Raw genomic sequence first — 27,072 nt, 5'->3', positions numbered from 1 at the left:
TCTGCACAGCAAAAGAAACTATCATCAGAGTGAACAGACAACCTACAAAATGGGAGAAAATTTATGCAATCTATTCATCTGGCAAAGATCTAATATCCAGAATATACAAGGAGCTTAAACAAATTTACAAGAAAAAAGACAAACAACCCCATTAAAAAGTAAGCAAAGTACATAAGCAGACACTCCTCAAAATAAAACATATATGCTGCCAATAAACATATATAAGACTGTTTATTAGAGAAATGTAAACCAAAACCGCAATGAGATACCATCTCATGCCAGTCAGAATGGCTAGTATTAAAAGGTCAAAAAACAACAGATGCTGGTGAGGTTGCAGAGAAAGGGATCGCTTTTACACTGTTGGTGGAAGTGTAAATTAGTTCAACGATTGTGGAAGTCAGTGTGGCAATTCCTCAAAGACCTAAAGGCATAAATTACATTTGACCCAGCAACCCCACTACTGGGTATATACCCAAAGGAATATGAATCATTCTGTTATGAAGATACATGCACATGTGTGTTCATTAAAGCACTATTCACAATAACAAAGTCACAGCATCAACCTAAATGCCAATCAGTGGTAGACTGGATAAAGAAAATGTGATATATATACACCATGGAATACTATGCATCCATAAAAAGGAATGAGATCATGTCCTTTAACAGGGACATGGATGGAATGGGAAGCCATTATCCTCAGTAAACCAAAGCAGGAACAGAAAACCAAAAACCACATGTTCTCACAAGCAGGAGCTGAATGATGAGAACACATGGCACACTGGGGGAACAACACACACTAGGGCCTGTCGGAGGGGAATGGTTGGGGGAGGGAGACCATCAGGAAGTATAGTTAATGGTTGCTGGGCTTAATACCTAAGTGATGGGTTGATCTGTGCAGCAAACCACTATGGCACAGGTTTACCTATGTAACAAACCTGCACATCCTGCACATGTACCCCTGAACTTAAAATAAAAGTTGAAGAAAAAAATAACTGGCAAGACATAACTTCTAACAAGGAACATGTATGTAGAATATAAAAAAAATTCCTCTAACTCAACAAAAAATACAGCCCAGGAGAGGTTTATAGAGGAGGCAGAGCAATATGGCCAAATAAAAGCCTCCAGCAACCCCCACCCATACACACACACACACAGGAACACCAAATTGAACAACTATCCACACAAAAGAATACCTTCATAAGAATGAAAAATCAGGTGAGTGACAACAGTACCTGGTTTTAGCAAAATATTAAAGAAAAAGGCACTAAAAAGGGTAGAAACTACAGTCTTGAATTACCTACACCATCCTTCACCCATCTTGTGGCAGTGGCTACAAGGCATGGAGAGAGAATCAGTGCACTTGAGGGAGGGAAAGTGCAGGGATTGTGGAACTTTGCATTGGAACTCAGTGCTGCCCTGTGACAGAAGAAAGCAACACAAGGCAGATCTCACCCAGTACCCATGGAGGGAGCATTTAGACCAGCCCTAGCCAGAGCTGAATCATCTATCCCAGCAATCAGGGCAGAAGTTCCAACAAGTGCTATCACCATGGACTAAAGCACTCTGGGGTCCTAAATAAACTTGAAAGGCAGTCTAGGCCACAAGAACTGCAATTCCTGGGCAAGTCTTATTGCTGTGCTGGGCTCGGAGACCGTGGACTTGGGGTGAATGTGACCTAGTGAGACACTAGCTGGGGAAGCCAAAGGAGCGCTTATATCACCCCTTCCCCAACCCCAGGAAGCATAGTTTGCAGCTCCAGGAGAAGCCCCTTCCTTCTGCTTGAGGAAAGGAGAGAGGGGAGAGTATAAAGGATTGTCTCTTGCAACTTGGATACCAGCACAGTCACAGTAGAATAGAACAAAAAGAAGACTCCTGTGGCTCACATTCTGAGTCCTAGCTCCTGAACATTTCTAAACACACCCTAGGCCAAAATGAAACCTGCTGGCTTGAAGGGAAAGACCCATTCCTGGAAGAATTCATCACCTGCTAATTAAAGAGCTCTTAAGCCCTCAATAATTAGTACTAGTAGCCAGGCAATACTCACTCTGGGCCTCAGAGCCATGCTGGCTTCAAGTGTAACCCAGCACATTCCCAGCTGTGGTGGCTGCAGAGCAAGAATCCTTCTGGTTGAGGAAAGGAGAAGGAAGAGTAAAAGAGACTTTCTCTTGCCACTTAGGTACCAGGTCAGCCACAATGGAGTAGAACATTAAGTGGGTTACTCGGGTCCCTGATTCCAGGCCTTGGCTTTTGGATGGTATTTCTGGGGCTGCCCTGGGCCAGAGGGGAGCCCACTTCCCTGAAGGGAGAGCTAGGCACTGATAGCATTCACTATAAGGTGATGGAAGAGTCTTTGGGCCTTCAGTGAACATCAGTGACAGCCAGACAGTACTGCCACAGGCTTATGGTGGTGGTGGTCATGGAGAGAGACTCCTCTGCTTGAGGAAAGGGAAGGGAAGAATGAGAAGGACTTTGATTTGTGGCTTTGGAACCAGCTGAGTCACACTAGAATATAACTCCAAATATATTCCTGAGGTTCCTGACTCCAGGCCCTGGCTCCTGGATGGCATCTTCAGAGCCATCTGGGGCTGAGGGGATCCCATTTCCCTGAAGGGAAGGACACAAGTTTGGCTAGATTTGCCACCTACTGATTACAGAGCCTTTGGGAGAGAGAGAGGGAGAGGGAGAGATCCCATTTGTTTGGGGGAAAGTAAGGGAAGAGAACAAGAGTCTCTGTTCTGATCTAGAGAATTCTCTAAGATCTTACACAAGACCAAGAAGGGGGTACCTCTATGAGTCTGCAAGAGCCACAGCATTACTGGGCTTGGGGTGCCCCTAAGAGCAGATGCAGCTTCAGTGACCAAAGAATTAAATCACAACACCCAAGTCCCTTCAAATACCTGGAAAACCTTTCCAAGAAGAATGAGTACAAACAAGCCTAGACTGTGAAGACTACAATAAATACCTAACTCTTCAATGCCCAGGCACTGATGAATGTTCACAAGCATCAAGCCCATACAGGAAAACATGACCTCACCAAATGCATAAAATAAGGGACCAGGGACCAATCCCAGGGAGACAGAGATACGTGACCTTTCAGACAAATCATTCAAAATAGCTGTTTTGAGGAAGCTCAATTAAATTCAAGATAACACAGAGATGGAATTCAGAATCCTATCAGATAAATTTGACAAAGAGATTGAAATAATGCAAATGAATCAAGCAGAAATTCAGGACTTTAACATGCAATTCATATAATGAAGAATGCATCAGTGTCTTCTGACAGCAGAATTGATCAAGCAGAAGAAAGAATTAGTGAACTTGAAGACAGGCTATTTGAAAATATATGGTCAGAGGAGAAAAAATAAACAAGAATAAGAAACAATGAAGCACACTGACAAGATCTAGAAAATAGCCCCAAAAGGGGAAATCTAAAAGCTATTGCCCCTAAACCAAAGGTAGAGAGGGAGGTCAGGGCAGAAAGTTTATTCAAAGGGATATAAACAGAGAATTTCCTAAATGTAGAGAAAGATATCAATATTCAAGTACAAGAAGGTTATAGAGCACCAAGCAGATTTAACAAGACTACCTCAAGACATTTCATAATCAAACTCTCAAACATCAAGGATAAAGGAAGGATTCTAAAAGCAGCAAGAGAAAAGAAACAAATAACATACAATACATCTCCAGTGCATCTAGCAGCAGACTTCTTATTGGAAACCTTACAGTCTAGGAGAGAGTGGCATGACATATTTAAAGTGCTGCAGGAAAAAAACTTTTAACCTAGAACAGTACAGCCAGTGAAAATATCCATCAAATATGAAGGAGAAAAAAAGACTTTCCCAGACAAACAAAAGCTGAGGGATTTCACCAACACCAGACCTGTCCTACAAGAAATGCTAAAGGGAGTTTTTCAATCTGAAAGAAAGGGGTATTAATGAGCAATAAGAAATCATCTGAAGGTAGAAAACTCAGTGGTAATAGTGAACACACAGAAAACCACAGAATATTATAACACCGTAATTGTGGGGTATAATTACACATATCTTGAATAGAAAGACAAAAAGATGAACTTAACCAAAAGACTAACTACAAGCTAGGAGTGGTGGCTCATGCCTGTAATCCCAGCCAGCACTTTGGGAAGCTGAGGCTGGTGGATCACTTGAGCTCAGGAGTTCAAAACCAGTAGGGGCAATATGGTGAAACCCTGTCTCTACAGAAAATACAAAAATTAGCCAGGCAAGATGGTGGACACCTGTGGTCCTAGCTAACTAATACTCATTTATGAAATATTGGGAATTTTTTCTATGAAGTTGGAAAAAAGACAAGGATACCTATTATCACAATTTCTGTTCAACACTATACTGGAGTCCTAGACAGTAAAACTGGGGGGAGTAGGGCAAATATAAATAAATTGGAGAGAAAGAAAAAAATCTGTTATTATTTGCAGATACTATAATTGTGTACCTAAAAAATCTAGAAAAATCTAAGTGATTAGTAAATTTAGCAAGATTGCTTCATTCAAGGTCAATATACAAATTTCAATTGTACTTCTGTATGCCAGCAACATAAAGAGAGAAAATAAATATTTTTAAATTATATAATTTATAATAGTATGAAAAATGTCAAATCTAGGAATAAGTCTAATCAAGAAGTGTACAACATTGACCAAAAAAAACTGCAAAAATATTTCTAAAAAAGCTAAATGAAACAAATGTTAATTAGCTCAATTTAGCCATTCCATAATGTATACATATTTCAAAACAACATATTGCATATGATAAATATATATAATTTGTATTTGTCAATTAAATATTTTTTTTAAAAAAAGGACTATTGTAAATAGCTTCAGAAGCTTAAGAAAAGATACAACATAAATAAAACAAGAATAGGAGGCTATAAAGAAAGAAACATTTGGGAACCAAAAAAAGAACTTTTGGAGTTAAAGATGTGGTAGTGAATTTTTAAAATTTAGTAGAAGGATTGGAAGACAAAGTTGATATATATCCCATAAAGTAAACAAAAACACAAAGAAAACTCAAGCCAATATCCTTGATGAACATAGATGCAAAAATCTTCAACAAAATACAAGAAAACTGAATCCAGCAGCACATCAGAAAACTAATCCACCATATGAAGTAGGCTTTATCCCTGGGATGCAAGGTTGATCCAAAATACGTGAATCAATAAATGTGATTCACCACATAAACAGAACTAAAAACAAAAACCATACGATCATCTCAATAGATGCAGAAACAGTTTTTGATAAAATTCAACATTCTTTCATGTTAAAACCTTCAGCAAACTAATCATTGAAGGAACACACTTCAAAATAATAAGAGCCATCTATGACAAACCAACAGCCAACTTCATACTGAATAGGCAAAAGCTGGAAGCATTCCCCTTGAAAACCAGAATAAGGCATGGATGTTCACTCTCACTACTCTTTTTCAACATACTACTGGGAGTGCTAGCCAGAGCAATCAGGCAAGAGAAAGAAAGAAAAGGAATCCAAATAGGAAGACAGAAAGCCAATTTATCTATTTGTAGATAATACCATTCTATACCTAGAAAACCCCATAGTCTTTGCCCAAAAGCTCCCAGATCTGATAAACAACTTCAGCAAAGCTTCAAGGATACAAAATCAATATACAAAAATCAGTAACCTTTTTATACACCAACAATGTCCAAGCTGAGAGCCAAATCAAGAATGTAATCTCATTCACAATAGCCACAAATAAAAGAAAAAAAAAAACCTGGAAGTATAGCTAATGAGGAAGGTGAAAGATTTCTGTGAGAAGTATAAAATACTGCTTAAAGAAATCAGAGATGACACAAACAAATGAAAAAGCATTCCACTTTCATGAATACGAATAAGCAATATTATTAAAATGGCCATACTGTCCAAAGCAATCTACAGATTAAATGCTATTCCTATTAAACTACCAATGATATTCTTCACAGAATTATAAAAATCTATTTAATGGAAACAAAAAGGAGCTCTAATAGCCAAGGTAATGCTAAGAAAAAGAACAAAACTGAGTGGAACAGAATAGAGAGCCCATAAATAGTGCCACCTACAACCATTTGATCTTTGACAAAGTCAACAAAAACAAGCAATGGGGAAAGGACTCCCTACTTAGTAAATGGTCCTGGGATAATTGGCTTATCATATACAGACGATTGAAGCTGGACCCTTTCCTTCTGCTGTATACAAAAATCAACTCAAGATGGATTAAAGACTTAAATGTAAAACCTACAACTATAGAAACCCTGGAAGATAACGTAGGGAATATACCATTCTGGACATAGGCCCTGGAAAATATTTCATGATGAAGATGCCAAAAGCAATTGCAACAAAAACAAAGGTTGACAAATGGGTCCTAATTAAACTAAAGAACTTCTATACAGCAAAAGAAACTGTCAACGGAGTAAACAGACAACCTGCAGAATGGGAGAAAATATTTGCAAACTATGTATTTGACAAAGAGCTAATACCCAGAATCTACAAGGAACTTAAATAAATTAACAAGCAAACAACAAACAACTACATTAAAAAGTGGGCAAGGGACATGAACAGACACTTTCCAAAAGAAGGCATACGTGTTGCCAACAAGCATATGAAAAAATGCACATCACTAATCATAAGAGAAATGCAAATTGAAACCACAATGAGATTACCATGTCACACCGGTCAGAATGGCTATTATTAAAAAGTCAAAAAATAATATATGCAGGTGAGTTTGCAGAAAAAAGGAACACTTACACCCTGCTGGTGGAAATGTAAATTAGTTAAGCCATTGCGGAAAGCGGTGTGGTGGTTTCTCAAAGAAGTAAAAACAGAAGTACCATTTGACCCAGCAATCCTATTATTGGGTATATATTCAAAGGAACATAAATCATTCTACTATAAAAACACATGCACGTGTATGTTCCTCTCAGCACTATTCACAATAGCAACGTCATGGAATCAACCTAAATGCCCATCAATGGTAGACTGGATGAAGAAAATGTGGTACATATACACCATGGGACATTACATAACCATAAAAAGAACAAGACTGTGTCTTTTGCAGTAACACGGATGGAGCTGGAGGTCATTATCCTACAAGAGATAACTCGGGAACAGAAAACCAAATACCACATGTTCTCACTTATAAGCAGGAGCTAAACAGTGAGTACACATGGACTCAAAGAAGGGAACAACAGACACTGGAGCCTACTTGAGGGTGGAGTTTGGGAGGAGGGAGAGGAACAGAAAACTACCTGTAGAGTATTATGCTTATTACCTGGGTGACAAAATATTCTTCACACCAAACCCTGGTTACACACAATTTACCTGTATAACAAACCTTCACAAGTGCCCGTGAACCTAAAATAAAAGTTAAAATATATATATATATATATATATATATACAAAGTTAGAAAAAAGAAAAAATATACAAAATAAAGAGAATCCAAAAAAACACAAAGATAGAGAATATTAAAAGGAATAAGCGAATTAGTGGATTAGTTTAGGAGACCCAACATTCAATTAATAGGAGTTCCAGTAGCGAAGGAAACAAGGGGAAATACGTGATAAAAGAAACACTATAAAAGCATATCCCACATTTGAGTGTCCAACAAAATTAATGAAAAAACCCATAGCACCAAATCTCACACTGTTCACAAAAGTCAATTTCAGGTGTTCTCTAAAACAAAATATGAGAAGCAAACTAGTTAAGCTTTAAGAAAAATATATCTTCATGATTTAAAGGTAGGGAAAGAATTCTAAAACAGGGCTGAAAAAGCTCCTGCCATAAACGGTAAGAACACTGTCACATTTTAGTATGTTAAAAAATGACTTAAACAGTGATATAGATGTTCATAGATCAGAAGACTCAATCTTGTAAAGAGGTCTTTTCTTTCCAAATTATATACTCAATTCAATCCTAAACAAAATTTCAATAGGTGATTTTTATTATTTTTAGACAACTGAAAGCTAATTATAAAGTTAATATGAAAATGCTTTGAACCAAAAAAGCCAAGGCAATCTTTAAAAAGGAGAAAGCTGGAGGGCTTACAATTCTATATACCTATATAAAGCCATAGTGACTAAGACAGTGGTATTTGAATAAGAATGAACCAACAGAAAAGAGACAATTTCGGAAAGAAACACATATACATATAGTCAGCTGGCTTATGACAAAGGTGATTCTTAATAATAGAGTGGAGAAATAAATTTTTTTCAATAAATAATGCTGGGCCCCTTTGGCATATATATGAAAAAAGTGAATCTTCACACCTACCTGGCACACACCATAAACAAAACTCAGTTCTGGATAGATTGAAGTTCTAAATGTGAAAGGTAAAACAATAAAGAGTTTAGAATAAAACATAGGGGATTACATGGATGACATTAAAGTAGGCAAAGATTTCTTAAACAGCATATGGAAAACACTGGACAATTTTTAAAAAATGAATAATGGTACTGTTTTAAAATTTAAAACTTCTGTTCATCAAAAGCTATCATTATGGTGATAAAAAGGCAACCTACACTGTGGGGGTAGATATTTGCAATACATATATCTCAAAATGAACTCATATTCACAGTAATTAAAGAACATCTAGAAGACAATGGAATCTTGACAAAAGACTTTACCAGAAATTTAACAAAAAAAGTAAGTATTCAAATGGCCCATACACAATATGAAAAGGTGTCCAACTTCATTAGTTTACAGATTTCAAATTAAAACCGTAATAAGATAAACTGCAATCCCATCAGAGTAGCTAAAATGGAAGGCATAAAATACCAGAATGTTGAACTTCTATATACCACTGGTGGAAATATGTATTTAGTCAACCAACTTTAGAAAACTTTTTGGAAGTACGTACTGTAGCTGAACGTATACATACCCTATGACCCAGCAATTTCCCTTATAGGTATATACCCATTAGACATGTAAACATATGATCACCAAAATGTTTTACCTTGTTCATAGTCATGCAATTTGAAATAGCTACAAAGTGGACCTTATTGAAATGCCCAATAGTAGAATGAGTAAATAAATTGTGGTGTGTTTACATAGTACAATACTAAACAGTAATGAGAAAGAACAACTTCCAGCAGACAACCAAAAGACTGAATATCTATAGAAAATTGACATTCAATATAGATATCAAGAAATAGAGGCCGGGCAAGGTGACTCGCACCTGTAATCCCAGCACTTTGGGAGGCCAAGGGAGGTGGATCACCTGAAGTCGGGAGTTCAAGATCAGCCTGACCAACATGGAGAAACCCCATCTCTACTAAAAATACAGAATTAGCTGGGCACGGTGGCGTGTGCCTGTAATCCCAGCTACTCGGGATGCTGAGGCAGGAGAATCGCTTGAACCCGGGAGGCAGAGGTTGTGGTGAGCTGAGATCGTGCTATTGCACTCCAGCCTGGGCAGCAAGAGTGAAACTCCGTCTCAAAAAAAAAAAAAAAAAAAAAAAAAAAAAAGAAATACAGAATGAAAGAATTTGGACCAAAAAAGTACTAACTGTATAATTCCATTTATATAACATACACAACCAGAGGGAATGCATCTATGCTATTAGAAGTCAGGAAAGTGGTTCCTTTTGGAGGGAAAGTGACTGGAATGGGTCATGAGTGAGGACTCAGCAGCCCCTAATGTTCCAGTTCTTGATCTAGGGACTGATTTCACAGTTGTGTTCACTCTATGAAAGTTCAGTGAGCAGTACACTTTGATATGTGCACATTTCCTTATGTATATTCTACTTTAATGACTTTTTTTTAAAGTGGAAAAATAAGCCTGAAGAGGAGAAAATGGGTGAGGATTTCAATGCGACAAAATTGGCCAAGTGTTAGTAATTGTGAAATTTTGGTGACAAGTGCATGAGGGTTAATTTTATGATTTCTGTTACTGTTATAAATGTTTAAAACTTTCTGAAATATAAGATAAAAATAAGTGTTGAAGAAAAGAAGGGAAAAAGATAATGATACACGCCAGTGGCGGGGCTCAGAAAACAATACGCCAAAATGAAGGCTTCAAAAGCAGCCTCAGAAGCAAAAGTTTTTCTCTAACCTTCTCCTGCTCTCCTGTCTCTCAGCCCCACTCTCCCCTGAGGCTAGCTATAGAAACTAGAATCCCTCTTCCCCAAGGTGGGTCATAGAAACCAGAACCCCTCTTCACCAAAGCCAGCCATAAAATCTAAAAATATTTCTTCAACTTTCCCTCTGCCTTTCTGTGTAAAAACTGGCCATAAAGAAATTATCTAACCTGTCTTGTTTGACTGTAAGTCATAAGATCCCTATTCCAGAGAGGGTCTTGCCCTGTACCCAGAAAAGGAACACATGCTCAGAGAGGCGGAGAAGAACCTAGATGAACAGGCCTTGCTGGGTTTCTCCACTTAGCTTATTTGCATTAGATCATACCCTTTTTGTCCAATCATATTTCTAAACACTGTCCATACTTTGTTGAACCTAAGTATAAAATGGACAATTTCCTCCTTTATCTTTGGGTCTTCATTCTGAAGGTTCTCATGTATATACATTAAATAAATTTTATGCCGTTTCTCTAATTAATCTGCCTTTCTCTAATTAATCTGCCTCTAATTAAGCTGATTTTTCAGCAAACCTTTAAAGGGTGATTGGGAAGTTTTCAGTTGGCCCCTACCCCTATCATTGATCAATACAGAAATGAACAAATATGAGAATAGTGCTCCTGGAGGTGGGGGATAATGTTTGATAATGAGAGCCACAGAGCTACTGGTTTTGTTGTAAACATTTTAGGACTATTTGATTTCATAAACTAAGTGCATGTATTACTTTGATAAATTAAAAATAAAATTTAAATGTCAAAAATAAATAAAAAATAACTGAAAGAAAAGATGAAACAGTCCTATAATTTTAATCTCAAAAAATAAAATCATGTTTTATATTACTTGAAGGAATTGGAATAAAAGGACAGAAATTGGAGTTAAGAGGCCTGAATACTATAATTTCATATAAAATTTAATTTAACATTCATGAACTGAAAAAAACAAAAAAAAATCAATAAGGAGCCATAACTGTCTGCCAGGGAATACACTGGAAGCCGGAATTTTGAGACAGACAGAATTTACATATAACTTAATATTGCATAATTATATTTTAACAATGTGGTAAGTCAACTCTAATTTTTCAAGCTTATTTGGCCATATTATGCTGTGGTCAAATAAAAACATCCCACTGAATCCTTATTCTAAGCAGAACACTTTGGGGAAATCTGAGCTAAAGAAGGTGTTTAAAAGCAAAGCAGGTACATTGCATTTTATGTGATTTACCTAAGGTAGCTCTGCTAAAACCCAATTGATATTTCCAATCCCTCCTCCCAGCCAAACAGGATGTTCAGGCCTTGCAGCAAACCCACCTGTTTGGCTAATCAACATATAGGAACAACCCCTGTCTCCCTTGCTTACTCTGCTTTGAAGGTGGAAAGGCAAAATACTTGCTATCCTACTACTCTTGCAGCTTGTGGTGGTCATATGGCTGAGTTTTTGCCAATAACACAAAGGCAAAAGTCAGCTGGAAATTTGAGAAAGTTTTTGCATTCTTGATTAAAGGGATATTTTAGCCTCCTTTTTCCTATCTTGATAGAATATTAACCTCCCCGCCACATACTCCCCCTTCAAGTGAGCACAAAGCACGAATTGTTTTGTTTCTGTGTGATTATGCCCATATAGCATTTTAAATCAGGGTTCAGAAGAGGTTGAAAATAAGTGCATGTGTTCAACCTGACATGTTTATCTGGAGCCCTATATATTGTCTATAAATACAAACAGTTTAAGCAAATTAAAACATGTTTGATAATGAGAGACGCCAAATTCAGGATCGTGGCTGTCATATGCAGGAAGAGGAAGGAGAATGGGATTGATTGGGGGTTAAGGGAGCTGAAACATCAAATATATCTGTAACGTGTAATTTTAAAATGAAAGAAAATGAAGCAAAATATTAAATTTGAGGACGCCAGAAGTTAGATACATGCATGTTTATATTAGATGCTATAAATTTAAGTATATTAAAATATTCCAAAATTTAAAACACTGTACTTGGAGGGAACTTTTTGTAAATGCATTAATAGGTAATAAAAATAAGGACCCTGAAATCTCATCCAGTTAAGGCAAGAAGGTGAGATATTAAAAAAAAGGGTAGGCAAAATATAGAAGAATAATCCAGAGCAGACCACAGCATGGATGTTTCATTGGCCTAAGAGCTGGAAGATGATATCAATACCTATAGTGTAATACGTGTATATATACATATATATGCATGCATATGTACATATAAGTGATATTTGAGACTAAATTAGGTAAAATATAGATTGCTCTCATTAAATACTGTGGGTTCAATACTTCAAAAACAATTTCCTTTCTTGTTTTTATGAAAGTCTAATGTTTGGTTTGGTATAGACACCTAACCTGAGTAAACCCTCCATCGACTTTCCAGAACTTGGAGAGGTACAATACAGGTGAGTCGTCTCCTGAAAAAAAAAAAAAAGGAATTTTATTGAAGCTGATTTCTTTCTGTACAGTGTTGTTACAGAAGCACCATAGCACCGTATGGTATGTTAGTGACCTATATTTTAAGCTAAGATTTAAATTTATACACTTATAAATGTTTGATTAAAGGTACTATAGGACTAACTACATATTAATAACAACAAAAGTATAAATCACTTTTTCATTTTGAATCTCCTTCAAGAAGCTGTAATACTCAGTTATAACTCAAACTATTCAAAAATTAAACTCAATGATGCACAATTTATGTGTAGTACTATACTAGAATAGCCCCTCTCCTCAATTACACGTGACCTGAATGATCTGATAGCACAATTGGTTTTATAAATATCCATTCAGCCATGGAAATACTTCCCTAGGAAATTGAATCGCCTCAATTACCCAGTTTGGGGATTCATAATAAAATATTGAAAAGTTTTTATTTAAATATGTTGACTATTTTCTCTTGTAAATGTGCCTCTGAATTATATAATTTGTCTAGATGGTGAACATGACTTAGTGGAAGAAGCACCATATTTAGAATTAGAACTAGTTTCCAGCCCTAGCTATGCCATTCACCAGATGTGAGATTTGGATAAGTTAATTTCACCTTACAGTTATTTTGCCTCAATCCCTTCATCTGTAAAATGGAGACATATGATTACATCTTATATAACTGTCTAAGTAATTTATGTAGATTGTAATCAGTACATGTTAGTTCCTTTCCTGCTTCCATAAGATCCATCTGAAAGGACACTATCATTGGCTGAGATGCTGAGAATCTGGGGCCATTAGCATCCAAAGCAACGAGGAACACCACATCTTTTATTGCAGTTGTTTTAAGCAGTTGATTTATTTTTTCAAATCGCTCAAACAAAAACAATGCATCAATTAGAGCAGAGCTCTAAATCTTTTTGCAAGGTTTTCAGGAAAATTCAGCTTATGAACCATTTTACTTTAGCCTTTTCATTGATAATTTGCCTGATAAAATCAGAAAGGAAGCAAGTTAAAGAATAAATGTTTCAGTTTAGGGTTAGATAGGAAGAAGAGGGGGTTATGTAATCAGAATCGCATTTTAAACTTACCCCAAATCAAAATGGCCATACATATATATTTTTGTTTTAACTATTTTTACATTTTCTTAGGCAACGTGGGTAGTCCCAAATCCGCATCTACCCAAAATACTGACCAAAAATACACAGTCATTATTACTAAATTCAATGGTTAGGGCCTTTAAGGAAGACTGCAAGGGATAATTTCTGTCCTATACCACAAGCTTCTAGGAGGGGGAAAAATGTTACATACTGATAACAGCAAAAGTGAGAGAAGATACAGCTGTATCATCATTTGACTTTTGATTCTTCCATTTGATAAAAATAAGTCATTTTTCTCTTGACTGAATGAATATACTGATGACCTAGGAGATTTTCACAGCCTTCTTGGAGAATCAAAATCAGTTTTTCTCCAAAGGTTGTGTGGGTGCACTTCCAATGAGGATCTGATCAGAATCTCCATGGTGGCCTTTCCATATTACAGAAAGTTCAGCCATTATTATTCCCGTGCTCGGGTACCTCTTTGAGAACTGCCAAGTGTCAGGGGAGATGAGACTGCTGCGGGGAGTTCTGTAAGGCAGAGGTTGAGGCTTGCTGAGAATCATTTCAGCTGAGTGTGATTCAGGGTAAATCAATACATTGCTTAACTACACTGGCAGCAATCTACAGGAAGAATTATCATTTTTCTCTTTAAAATGTTCTATAAATCAAACAATAAAGATTATGTCCTTCTCAGTCAGAAGTATGTACTAACAATAAGTCAGGTTCCTCCCAGCAAATGTAACCTGTGTGCTTTCTAGCCTCTGAACCACTCAGCTGAAAATAGTGATATTCAGAATAGATAAGCTAGAAAGGTGAGTCCCCAAAACCAATCTGCTGAAAGATGCAGAACTGGCTGGATAACAGTCACCTGGGAGCTTGTTAAAAATACACATGCCCAGACTGTGACCCATAGATTTTGATTCTGTAGGTCTGTGAGAGGTCCCAGGGACATGTATTTTTAAAAACTTTTCAGGTAAACTAAACAATGTAGGATGCATCCATATAATAAAAACATCCATACATACATATGCAGAAAAGAATGAGGAACTTCTCTTTGGATATGTATGGATAGAGGCCAATCTTCAAGACATTTTATTAAGCGAAAACTGCAAGAGGTATTATACTTTACAAGTGCTGTTAAAAAAGAAGGATGAACATACATAGTTGCTTATATATGCATGAAATATTTCTGGAAGATTACACAAGTGGTTGATAATATTGGTTTTGCCTCTGAAGGGAATAACTAGGTGTTGGCAGATAGGAGTGGGAGACAGATTTTTCCACAGCATAAACTTTGTACCTTTTCAAATTTGAGCCAAGTAAAAATTTATATATTAAAAAATTACTGAATAAAATACACTTTCTATTATGACAAAATATGGCTTTTAACTAACTCTCCAGGTGACTCTAATGTTCAGCCAGGAATTTAAATACTATTGGACAAGACATATGAAAATGCAACATATTAATGTGATAATATGTGCACATTTATGTATTATGTTACTGTGTTATTATTATGTAGTATACAACATATCCATGTGTCAGAGTTTAAGAATTTTTTTCTCCTATGAAGATAGAGCAACAGAAAGCTAGATACAGGGCAGTTGCATTATTGTGAATGATACATTCCTGAAAACCTCACTTACTTCTAAACTGTATAGTTCAAAACTCAGTTACAATAGCTCTGACAAAAGATGATGCATCTATTTGCCATTAACATTGCCACCTCCTAATAGAAATAGCAAAAACACAGCTTATAATTTATTCAGATAGTCAGCTTTATATTATATAATCCTTGAACATTTTTGTAAAGGGGAAATCAATTATTTTAAGATATATAGATAGTTTAATAATGTTTTCTACCACACCACTTAAAATTAGTGAAGTTCAAAATCACATGAAATGTAGCCACATCCCTCTTGAACTGCATTTGAACCTCCTCGTAAAAGAGCTTCACAGAAAAATATATTTTGATGTTATTCATTTGGCTTTATTTAGAATTGATCAAGAAAACTCACTGGAAGAACGCTTCTGCATTTTCTGTGAAACTGTTAAAGACGTCGTGATTATTGGGCTCTTTACTATACATGCTACTTGTATAAGATATAATTTCTCCATTAAAATTTTTGTACCAGAAAATGTTTTTAAGAAATGTATGCTTCCTTTTGGCAGATGAGAATTACTGCTGAGAAACTTGGGATTGAATATTATGTTCAACCACAGTATATGGCAAATTTTCTTTTAAATGTTGGGATGATCTGGCCTTAGAGAGGAATCAAGAAAGGCGTGTATCACCTGTTTATAAAATTTAGGATGCATGATTTTCTAAAAAAAAAAAAAAAAAAAAAAAGCAAACAAAACAATCTTTTACCGTATGGCAATTTGTATAATTTCTGGTTTTAATTAAAATTTGGCTCCCTACACAATATAAAACAATTAAGCAGATAAGAATTAGGCTCTCATCCTGTGAGAAGGTCTCGGAGAGAAATATCAATCAGAAAAGTTCCTACCTTTGATGTAGTGATTCCTGAGGGGGTTGGGCCAATGAATACATGCCTTAAGTGGGTGGACAGGAATAGTGATGGAAATGCTCTAAGAGCTAAGCCTCAGGCTCTAAGAAGAACTAATATGCTTGATTCATTCTTACCATTTGTATAAAGTCTTGGGAACCAACGAAATTATTTTGACTCTCCCTAGTCTTTCCCTTGGTTAGGACTCTGCACAGAACCATCTAAGAGAGATGACTAATCTGTATCTGGAAGAATATGTAGGCCATAGGAAAAACCTTCTGGGACTAAAGTGGAAAATAATTTGGCTTATAATAATTGATAAATATAAAATGGCACATCATGTTGGAAAACAGTCTGGCAGTTCCTCAAATGGTTAAACGAAGTTAGCACATGACCTAGCAATTCGACTCCTAGATATTCATTTCCTTTTTGTCTACTTTAACTAATAACTTTAATTAGTCCAGTGGATGAATTAGGAAACAGATAAACTTTTTTCCATTCTTAAACTGAAGGTCATCTGGGATGTACTATATTGAACTCTGTGTTTTTTGTCTCTCCTTCCTTCTGTGTTATACTTATCTCTAATTTTATAAGTATATTATTATACAGTTAACATTTTTACCAAAATAACAGATATGATTAAAAATAATAACATATCTGATGTTGATTTTTAGAAATATTTAAAAATATAAAAAAGCATCATGAGCTTGGTGATGCAGGATTTTTCTTGGCCCCTTCACCGGACTCGTGGAAGGGGTATCCCATCTACTCAACCTGCCATGCTTAGCCCCTTGTGAGAGGAAGCACGTGAGTGAGTGAGTGCAGAATCCTGTTGGCCTTTCCAGGTGCCAACACGGGAGAAAGCTCCATGTGGGGTCCATGGCCAGACCAGGTGCCTCACCTCAAGGGGAACGTGGTAGTGCCCAGGTGAGGGTGCCCAAGACCGCGAAGCCCCAGAGGGGGTGTTACAATGGTCCTTTAGTTCCACCGTCCATGGACAGCAGCATGCTAGCAGATCAGTTGACCCCTTGCCTTACCACATGGGGTGGCTTCCCTCTGCTGGTGAGGGGAAAGGGCCAGTGTGACAGCCTTTCTGGGTACCCACAATCAGTGGGTCCTGAGCTCTTGTCTGGTGTCCAAGAAGAATGAGGTCATATGGACAATTGAAGGACAGTGAAGAACGAGAATTTTATTGAGTCATGAGAATGGTTTTCAGTGGAGAGGAGACCTGGAGAGGGGATGGGAAAGTCAGGTCAGCTTCCCCGAAATCAGGTTGTCTCTTCCCTGAAGTCAGGACATCACCCCCTCTACTGACTGAGTCTGGGTTCTTTGTAGGCACAGGATGGGGAGTGTGTGCTGATTGGTTTTTGAGTATGCAAAAAAGGTTAAAGTGAAGACACCACTCAAAGGTGGGCATGACAGTGTAGAAAACCAATTGGGAAGGGGTAGGTATATGTAAAATATGTGAAGGATGGGGATCAATCAGAGGAAAGTGCTCCAAACAGGAAGGCAAGTTCTCAATCTGGTCCAAGGATTTAACTTGTAGCTTGGCTTTCAGGCTTTAAACTGTCTTTGACTTGGTGATGGGGTTTTACCAGGTATCAGTGCCTATCTGCTGAGGCATTTGGCTGTCTCCTGTTGCTATCACTGGGACACAAAGATAACCACTTAATATTTTGCAACTTCATGCTTTTTCTCAGGGTGTATTTACACGTCTGTATACATTTTTTAATAAAATTGGGAGCAAATATTTCACAATTTTCCTCACTCGATTTTCCTGATTTCATGAAATTTTCTACTACCATATCATTCTCATGACTACAAGCTATTATCTCACATAGATGTGCCATATAATTTTTGAACTATTCTCTGAGAAACAGATTTTAAGAAAGAGATTTGTACTGTGTGTAGTCATTTTATTGGCAAGAGTTCTCAAGATCAATATTTACGGACAATTGAAGAAAGTGGGATTAAGTAGAGGGAGGAATGGAACTGCAGTGAAAAACCTCAGGGCAGCCAGGCATGGTGGCTTACATCTGTCATCGCAGCACTTTTGGAGGCCAAGGTGGGAGGATTGCTTGAGGCCAGGAGTTTGAGACCAGCCTGGGCAAACTAGTGAGACCCTATCTTTAGGGAAATAAGAAAGAAAGAAAGAAAATCCTTGGGAAACTCTGGGGCTGGGATGACCCTTCAGAGTTGTCCCTCCTTGAGACAAAAAGGCTAGAGGGCTTTGAATAGGGACTGTGCCCAAGGAGTAAGCATGAACTTGGGCAAGGCAGCTATTTTCAGCCAAAGGCAACTCCCAGATAGGAATTCAGCTGAGAGCCATCAGTCACCAATGCTACCAGCAACTGAGGTAATGAATTCCTCAGTTCTGAGAGGGAATCTGGGTGACATAAAACAATATTTGCTAGTCCATCTCCTGTGCCATTTGAATTCACTTAACTCATATTTTATTAAGTTTCATTGTATCCATCCTCTTCTAGTAATAGCTGTATGATTCCACTCACCCTCAGCTAACACATCTATTGATCTCAGTGGTTTACACAATGTTGTAACCCAGATCCTCATCCCTACAGTCACAACCCTTAGTCACCATGACTTTCTCGGGCCGCAACTGTTGCATTTATCCAGTGATTGTCAAAACTGGGCAATGTAGCATACCAATATGTACCCCTGTGGATTACATCAGTACTGAACATATTCTCCCCTATACTTATAGTGAAGCAGCAGCCCTACCTCCTTTGATGATCAGACCCAAACATCCTTGCCTGGATGTGACTTCTTTCATTGTGTATTACTTTCCTTGCCTTCTTCATGTCATGAGGACCCCAAAATGACAGTAGTAGTTTTAAAATTTAATAGGACTCTTGTTATGTCCTTTGATGGAACACTTCACTCTCTAGGGAGCAGAACATCTACATCTACATTTTCCAGAGTTGTAGTGATGGGAAGCACAAATTCTACAAGTTGATCACTTGGATGGATGGTAAAAGGGCTAATTTTACTTCCTTCTCTTAGGTCCGAGTCCCATACATTCAACCTACTGGGGACAGAGCATCATCATACAGTGGTCATTGGTTAGAGTGTATGCTAGATCTTGGAATATAGCACTCAATTCCTGCAGAGTATCATATCCAAGCTGGTGCCTCAGTTACACTTTCAAAATGCTATTCTATCACTCCATCAGATTAGTAATTTCTATGTAGTGCAGAGTGTGATAGATCCGGTGGATCGTGTGGTCATGTGTTCACTTCCATCTGTCCTTTGTTGTCAAATGGGTCCTTAGTCTGATATAGTATCGTATAAGATCTAATGTAAGTGAATCAAACACTCTATAAGCCCTTAGATAGTGGTGCTGGCTGAGGCTGTGAACAGGAAAGGCAAACCCATACCTGCTATATGTGTTAATTCCAGCCAAGGTGAATTGCTGTCCCCGGCAAGGTGGAAGGAATTCAGGGTAGTCAATTTGGCACCAAGTAGTTGCTTGATGTCCTTGTGGATTATGCTTAACATTGGTCTCTGTTGCTGGGAGTTGGGCTATTTGGCAGTGGAAATAGCTAGATTAGCCTTGGTGAGTGGGACCTATGATCTTTGGCCCATGTATAGTCCCCATCCCTGCCACTGTGACCACTCTGTTTATTGACCATTGTGCCAGCAGTGAGGTTGCTGATGATAGAGGCTGGCTGTTACTAACTGGCAAAGTCACTCTGTCTTTTTGGTTAATGACTTTTCTTTGAAGGATGCCCTCTAACAGGTATTGGCATGTGATACAAAGATCTTCATACTTGGGCTCATTCCCATAGACTACCCACATATGTAATATGCAACATATTAATGTGGTAATACATGCACATTTACATATTATGTTACTGTTGTGTAACATTATTATTATGTTATGTAGTATATAACATATCCATGTGTCAGAGTTTAAGAATTTTTTTCTTCTATGAAGATAGAGTAACAGAAATCTAGATACAGGGTAGTTGCATTATTGTGCTTCAGATGTGCTTCTTACCAATTGATGTGGTTTGGCTCTGTGTCCCCACTTAAAATCTTATCTGGAATTGTAATCCCCATAATCCCCATGTGTTGAGGGAGGAACCTGGTGGGAGGTGATTGGATCATGGGGGTGGTTTTCTCATGCTGCTCTCATGATAGTGAATGAGTTCTCATGAAATCTCATGGTTTTAAACGTGTTTAAAAGTTCCTCCTTCACAGGCCCTTCTCTCTCCTGCCACCCTGCGTAGAAGGTGCTGGCTGCTTCTTCTGCCATGATTCTAAGTTTCCTGAGGCCTCCCTAGCCATGTGGAACTGTGAGTCAATTAAGCCTCTTTCCTTTATAAATTACCCAGTCTCAGGTGGTATTCTTTATAGGAGTGTGAAAATGGACTAATACACCAATTTTCCAATTTTTGTTTTTCCTGGTCCCTGAATAAACAACTAAATCATTTCCCTCTTCTCATGAATTGGTGTAGATTGCAAATTTGGTCCACTGTTCTTTTTGCACAAGGTGGAAGAGCAAGTGCACTGCCAAAAAACATGTGAAGATTTCCTTTCTCAGCTTTCTTTCAGAGACATTCTTGAGTGAGATCACAGTGCAACAGCAGTTCATTTTTAGCTTGCTCCTCATATTGGGATGACCCACCTGTGAACTGAGTCTGAACTTTTTCACCCCTAGTGAACTAATCATAACGGGCCCCTCACGTGGCCGTAGATTTGTACTGATTGGGAGGTGTCAATGCAGTTTAATTGTGCCCTTCAGCCCTGCTTATGCTTGACACTGGGTTCAGCATTTCTGTCTTACGACGGATTGCTGCTGAGTCCACCTGACTCTATGGCATGTCAATACCGAGAGAAGGACTTTGCTAACAGCCATCAGCTGCCAGTGTTCCAGTAGCTGGAGGAATGAATGGAAGAGGAACTTAACGAATTCTCTAATGCTGAGTATTTCTAGTTTTTGTTTTTTTTTGTTGTTGTTTTACTTTTTTTTTTTTTTTTTTAGACAGAGTCTCCCTGTCGCCCAGGCTGGAGTGCAGTGGCACGATCTCGGCTCACTGCAAGCTGCGCCTCCCAGGTTCACGCCATTCTCCTGCCTCAGCCTCCTGAGTAGCTGAGACTACAGGCGCCCACTACCACACCCGGCTAATTTTTTGTATTTTTTAGTAGAGACGGGGTTTCGCCGTGTTAGCCAGGATGGTCTCGATCTCCTGACCTTGTGATCCACCTGCCTCGGCCTCCCAAAGTGCTGGGATTACAGGCGTGAGCCACCACGCCCAGCCTGTTTTACTATTTTTAGCAATACAACTTTGAAAGTTCTTATTCTAAGCAGATAGTCTAAAAAAAGATATAAACCAAAAATAGAGGAGTAATAAGATGATGAAAAATGAAACTAGGAGATGGGTTCTAGTCCTAGATTTGCTATTATCTTTGAATTTTCTACTTGACTAATCATTTCACTTCCTGGAGTCTTAATTGTCTTATCTACATTGTAAGATAGTTGAATAACATCAGTTTCTCCCAATCTATAGTCTACTGAGAAAGTAATAAAAATTCATTCTATTTAATAAAGACTAATGAAATAATTTATCTATCTTTCATAAGGTTGTAGAGGGATCAGGTAGGGGACACAACACTGATAATTTAGGCAAAAAGAGAACAATATCAAATACTGCAGAATAAAAGTATCCTAGAATATACCTGTGTGACAGATATTTCCAAGGTTATCTGGTCAAACTCACCAACATGTGCACCAATCCCCTCATTTTAAGCCATAGTAAACCTTTCATTAAGATCCTTCAATATTGTGAGTAGACCTGCCCAGCTTCCGAAGGCACTCACACCTACAATATCCAGAGGCTTTTTCTCCTGTTAGTAGTTGCTGCTTCTTTACTCACCTCACATTCTTTCCTCAATTTATTCCAGTTGAGCTCCAGTGCTCCCCGTACCATTGAGCTGCCAAATTCAATAGCCTCTGTTTTGTTCTTTTCTTACCTCACTTCTCAGCAACATTTGACATAGTTGGCCACTCCTGCCTTGAAGTGATTTGTTTTCTCCTAATTATTGCCTTAATGAGCTCACTTATTTGAGTAGCCTTAATGAACTCACTTGAGTATTTTATCTGTGGATTATTTTTGGAATTTGTTTCTAATCAATTATCTATGGATAATGAGAGTTGTATATCTTCCTTTAAAATCTGTAGATTGTAGACTTTAAAGGAATATATAAAATTCTCATTATCCATAGATAATTGGATAATGGACCAAACTACTGGCTGGTCCCTCTGAGTCTTCTATTCTGGATTATCCTCTTTCTCTACCCAATCTCCAAATGGTGGCATATTCATGGGCTCAGTAACTTGGCCCTGTTCTCTTAAGTGTTCCCATTCATTTTCATGGCTTCAGATGGTCTAGGCTTTCAAACCAATATCTTCCATTTGTCATCTCTCTTCTGAAACTTAGATTCAATTATTCAACTTCATACTTCATAAGCTGATAGGTATCTAAAACTTCATTTGTCCTTAAAAGAATGTTTCATTTTTGTGCTTGCCTCAACAGCACATATACTAAAAAGAATCTTTCATTTTTCTGACCAAATTTATTTCTTCCCCATGTTCACAAATATCAGAAAACTGTACCTCTTCTTTTTTTTTTATTTTGAGACGGGGTCTTGCACTGTCACCCAGGCTGGAGTGCAGTGGCACGATCTCGGCTCACTGCAAGCTCTGCCTCCTGGGTTCACGCCATTCTCCTGCCTCAGCCTCCTGAGTAGCTGGGACTACAGGCGCCCACCAACACACCCAGCTAATTTTTTGTATTTTTAGTAGAGATGGGGTTTCACCATGTTAGCCAGGATGGTCTCGATCTCCTGACCTCGTGCTCTGCCTGCCTCGGCCTCCCAAAGTGCTGGGATTACAGGCGTGAGCCACCGCGCCCGGCCAACTGTACCTCTTCTATTAGGTTGCTCAGGTCAAAAACTTAGAATACATTCATAATTTAGCTCTTTGTCTTTCCAATCTATCCCCAAAGTTCCATCATCTTTAACTCTAAAAGCTACACCAAATTTGATCATTTCTCTTTATCTCCATTATTTCTACCTCCCTCTAAGTCACCTCTATTTCTCACCTGGACTTTTGCTACAAACTTCTTATTGGTTTCCCTGCTTGCACTCTTGCTTTCTATATTTTTTATGTAATAGCAAGAATTATTTACTTAAAATAAATCAGATCATGTCACTCTTATGATTAAAACCTAAATGGCTAGCTTCTGATCATAGATAAAATCTAAATTTATTTTTTTTTCTCTGAGTCAGGGTCTTTCTCTGTCACTCAGGCTGGAGTGCAGTGGCATGATCATGGCCCACTGCAGCCTCGATATGCCAGGCTCAAGTGATCCTCCCAACTCCACTTCTTAAGTAGCTCAGACTGCAGGTGTACCACCACGCCCGGCTAATTTTTTTACTTTTTGTAGAGATGAGTTCTCACTATGTTGCCTAGGCTGATCTTGAACTTCTGGGCTCAAGTGATCCTCCCCCAGAGTGCTGGGATTACAGGTGTCAGCCACCAAACCAAGCCAAATCTGAATTTCTTACCTTGTCCTACAATGTCATAAATGATCTCGACTTGGCACCTCTGAAGTTTCTGTAAACATTATCTACCCTGTCTACGATCTTTCCGCAAAACTCATCTTCTCTCTCACCTTAAGAATTTTGTACCAGCTCTTCTCTTTTTTTGGAATAGTTTTTTTTTTTTCTCTTGATCCTCACAGTTCCAGCTCCTCATTATGACAGATATCTCAGTTGAGATGTCAGTGCTTTAGAGAGGTCTTCCTGGCCACTCTATTCAAAGTAGTCATCTAGTTTTTTACTCTTTATGTCCCATTTAATTCTCTACTAACACTTACTCTCTGGAGTTTTCTTCTTTATTTATTTATTGGGTCTCCTCACTAGAATGTAAATTCTTTGAGAGCAGAGATGTTGTCTGTCTTGTTGCTACTGTTTCTTCAGGGCTTAGAAAAGAGGTTAGCACTAGTAAGTGTTCAATAAAATTTGTTAAAGGAGGAAAAGAAACAGAACATTCTGGGACCCCTACTCTCCTAACCCAATAGACCAAAATGCCCAGGAGACAATTGAAACCCACCATCATTCACACTAGTGTCTTTATTTTGACTTCTAAAACCTTATTAAAAGTCCAGTTACTCTGCTATACCATAAATTTAACTTATTTAAAGATAGCAGTTAATGATCTCCAACTCTTACCTTTGTCAAATAAAATGCTCCTATTTCCAAACGTGACATTTGGGGGAAGAAGATTTCAAACAAAGTACACAGTGGACATGAAAAATCAATTGCCAAGAGGTATGACAAAATTTACTTCATAATAAATGCATTTTATTTGTATACACACATTTTCTTATTATACATAATCCAGAGACAACCATATTATTCTAATGGGCCACCTCTGCTCATAGTAAAAGGGAGAGATAACTTTCATAGTAATTTTGGTAGGATATTCTCAACAAGTTTTATTATTGTGGCTTTTTATACAAAGCGCAAGTTTGTGCAGGCTTGCAAGATTACTGTATTAGTCCATTTTCACACTGCTGATAAAGGTGTACCCAAGACTGGGTGATTTATAAACAAAAAGAGGTTTAAGGGACTCACAATTCCACGTGGCTGGGGAGGCCTCAGAATAATGGCATAAGGCGAAAGGCACATCTTACATGGCAGCAGGCAAGACAGAATGAAAGCCAAGCAAAAGGGAGTTCCCCTTATAAAACCATCAGATTTCGTGAGAGTTACTCACTACCACGAGAACAGTATGGGGAAAACTGCCCCCATGATTCAGTTGTCTCCCACCAGGTCACTCCTACAATATGTGGGAATAATGAGAGCTATAATTCAAGATGAGATTTGGGTGGGGACACAGCCAAGCCATATTGATTACTTATCTTCTTGACAATCCAATTTCTTAAAATCCAATAGCAATGAGTTTGTTTGATCTTGCTAGGTTATACAGCCTCACTAGATATTTTAAGGTATCCTAACTCTTGTAATTATAATGCATTTTAATTCAGCTAAATTTATTCCATGATAAGCACAGAAAATTAAATTCTCAAAACCAATCATTACTACTCTTACCTTCTTGATCACTTTCTTTCTTAGTTAAGCCATCCTCAAGTCTAATCATTAGTTTACTCTTATCCAGCAAGAGGAAAATTTCCATTGCACTTTACTAATAAATGTATCTGCTGCCTAACCATTGGTGTCATCCAATGTTATCTGTGTTTTACATAGCTTAATTTACTTAATCCTAATGACATGTACTACTACCTTGACAGTTTTACAGATGGAGAAACTACAGCACAGAGCAGTTAATTAACTTGTGTAAGGTTAAATGGCTAGCAAGTAGTAAACCTGGGCTATAACCTCAGGCAGTCGAAATCCAGAACCTGTGCTTTCAGCCACTACACTACATTCCCATTGGTAAAACTCACAATTTTCTACCTGATATTTTAAGTTATTATTGTTTCAGTTGCTTTTACAGTTTGATAAACACTAATATCTTCTCCAGAAAAAAAAATCCAATTTCTTCAAGAATTTCTCATATTACATGATTCCAAATTGCTTCATGACCCAGGTTACCTCTGGAAATACAGATGTGCCTATTCATCCTTTTAAAGTGTCAGAACCTAGCATTAGTCCATGTGTGGGCTCCAGTATAAATGCAAAGAGATAATTAGTTCCTTCTTTCTGTATAATTTTGCTAATGTAGTATTAAAACTCAGTTTATTTGGTAGCCACATCATACTGTTTACTCATATTTTTATCAAAAATATTTTTCACATGATTCAAAGCTCCTTTGAGCTGCAATGCATACTTCCCAAAACACCTATAGGAACCAAAAAGACAGTTTCAGTGCAGTGCGGCTATCAGACACTGAAAGTTGGCTTCGCTTAACCTCAAGAGACGCATGCATATTCAAACCTAAAATTCTTCAAAATACTACACTTGTGAGATATTTTATTATAAAGCTAAAATATTTTATTAAAAAAATTAAAATAACAAAATAAATCAAGAAATATTGTGTGCTACAGAACCCACTTGAAGGCCTGACTATAGTATGTGTAAGAAAAATAATGAAAGCCCTTGGTAATAGAAGGCCTTCCACTACACATGTAAGATGGGAGAGAAAAGAGAGTGCATATATGAGGAAAAAAAGAGAATGAAAGAGTTTGGTTTTACTGAATCTTTTTCTCCCTCTTCCGCTTTAAAAATTCTCACAAGTTCTAAGCTTCTTGGTTGCTTGTTTTCTAGTACTTCTCCCTGCTTTACTCTCTGGACTTAATCGTTAGCATTGTTTTCTCCGCCTGTGATCTTGGAGCCCTTCAGTAAGGTGTCAGTTCAAGGATCTGGTATTAAGCTTCTTCAACATTTTGGGCTTGGTGAAAGTTTCACCATTGGCCTGAGTTTGCCCTGACAACATGAGAAACAGCAACTAATGTACTGTTATTAGCTCTCATTTTTCTCCCCATGTGATATTGGGTAGATTTCTTTTTTTTTTTAATTTTATTATTATTATACTTTAAGTTTTAGGGCACATGTGCACAACGTGCAGATTTGTTACATTTGTATACATGTGCCATGTTGGTGTGCTGCACCCATTAACTCGTCATTTAGCATTAGGTATATCTCCTAATGCTATCCCTTCCCCCCATCCCACAACAGGCCCCGGTGTGTGACGTTCCCCTTCCTGTGTCCATGTGTTCTCATTGTTCGATTCCCACCTATGAGTCAGAACATGCGGTGTTTGGTTTATTGTCCTTGCGATAGTTTGCTGAGAATGATGGTTTCCAGCTTCATCCATGTCCCTACAAAGGACATGAACTCATCATTTTTTATGGCTGCATAGTATTCCATGGTGTATATGTGCCACATTTTCTTAATCCAGTCT

General features: G+C 37.8%; 1 long non-coding RNA gene across 1 annotated transcript in view; it reads right to left on the bottom strand.

Moving 5' to 3' along the window:
- The window catches only part of LOC124902110 (uncharacterized), a 112,958-nt gene that overhangs the window by 24,419 nt on the left and 61,467 nt on the right, over positions 1-27,072 (bottom strand). Inside the window, exons 4-6 of the long non-coding RNA XR_007061398.1 lie at positions 12,440-12,501; positions 8,286-8,331; positions 7,337-7,369 (exon numbers count right to left, since the gene is read on the bottom strand). This is a non-coding gene — a long non-coding RNA (uncharacterized LOC124902110). The remainder of the gene's footprint in view (positions 1-7,336; positions 7,370-8,285; positions 8,332-12,439; positions 12,502-27,072) is intronic.

This window comes from Homo sapiens, chromosome 9 (genome assembly GCF_000001405.40).
Source record: "Homo sapiens chromosome 9, GRCh38.p14 Primary Assembly".
NCBI lineage: Eukaryota > Metazoa > Chordata > Mammalia > Primates > Hominidae > Homo > Homo sapiens.
The sequence above is the reverse complement of the archived record's forward strand: the minus strand, read 5'-3'. Positions and strand labels throughout refer to the sequence as shown.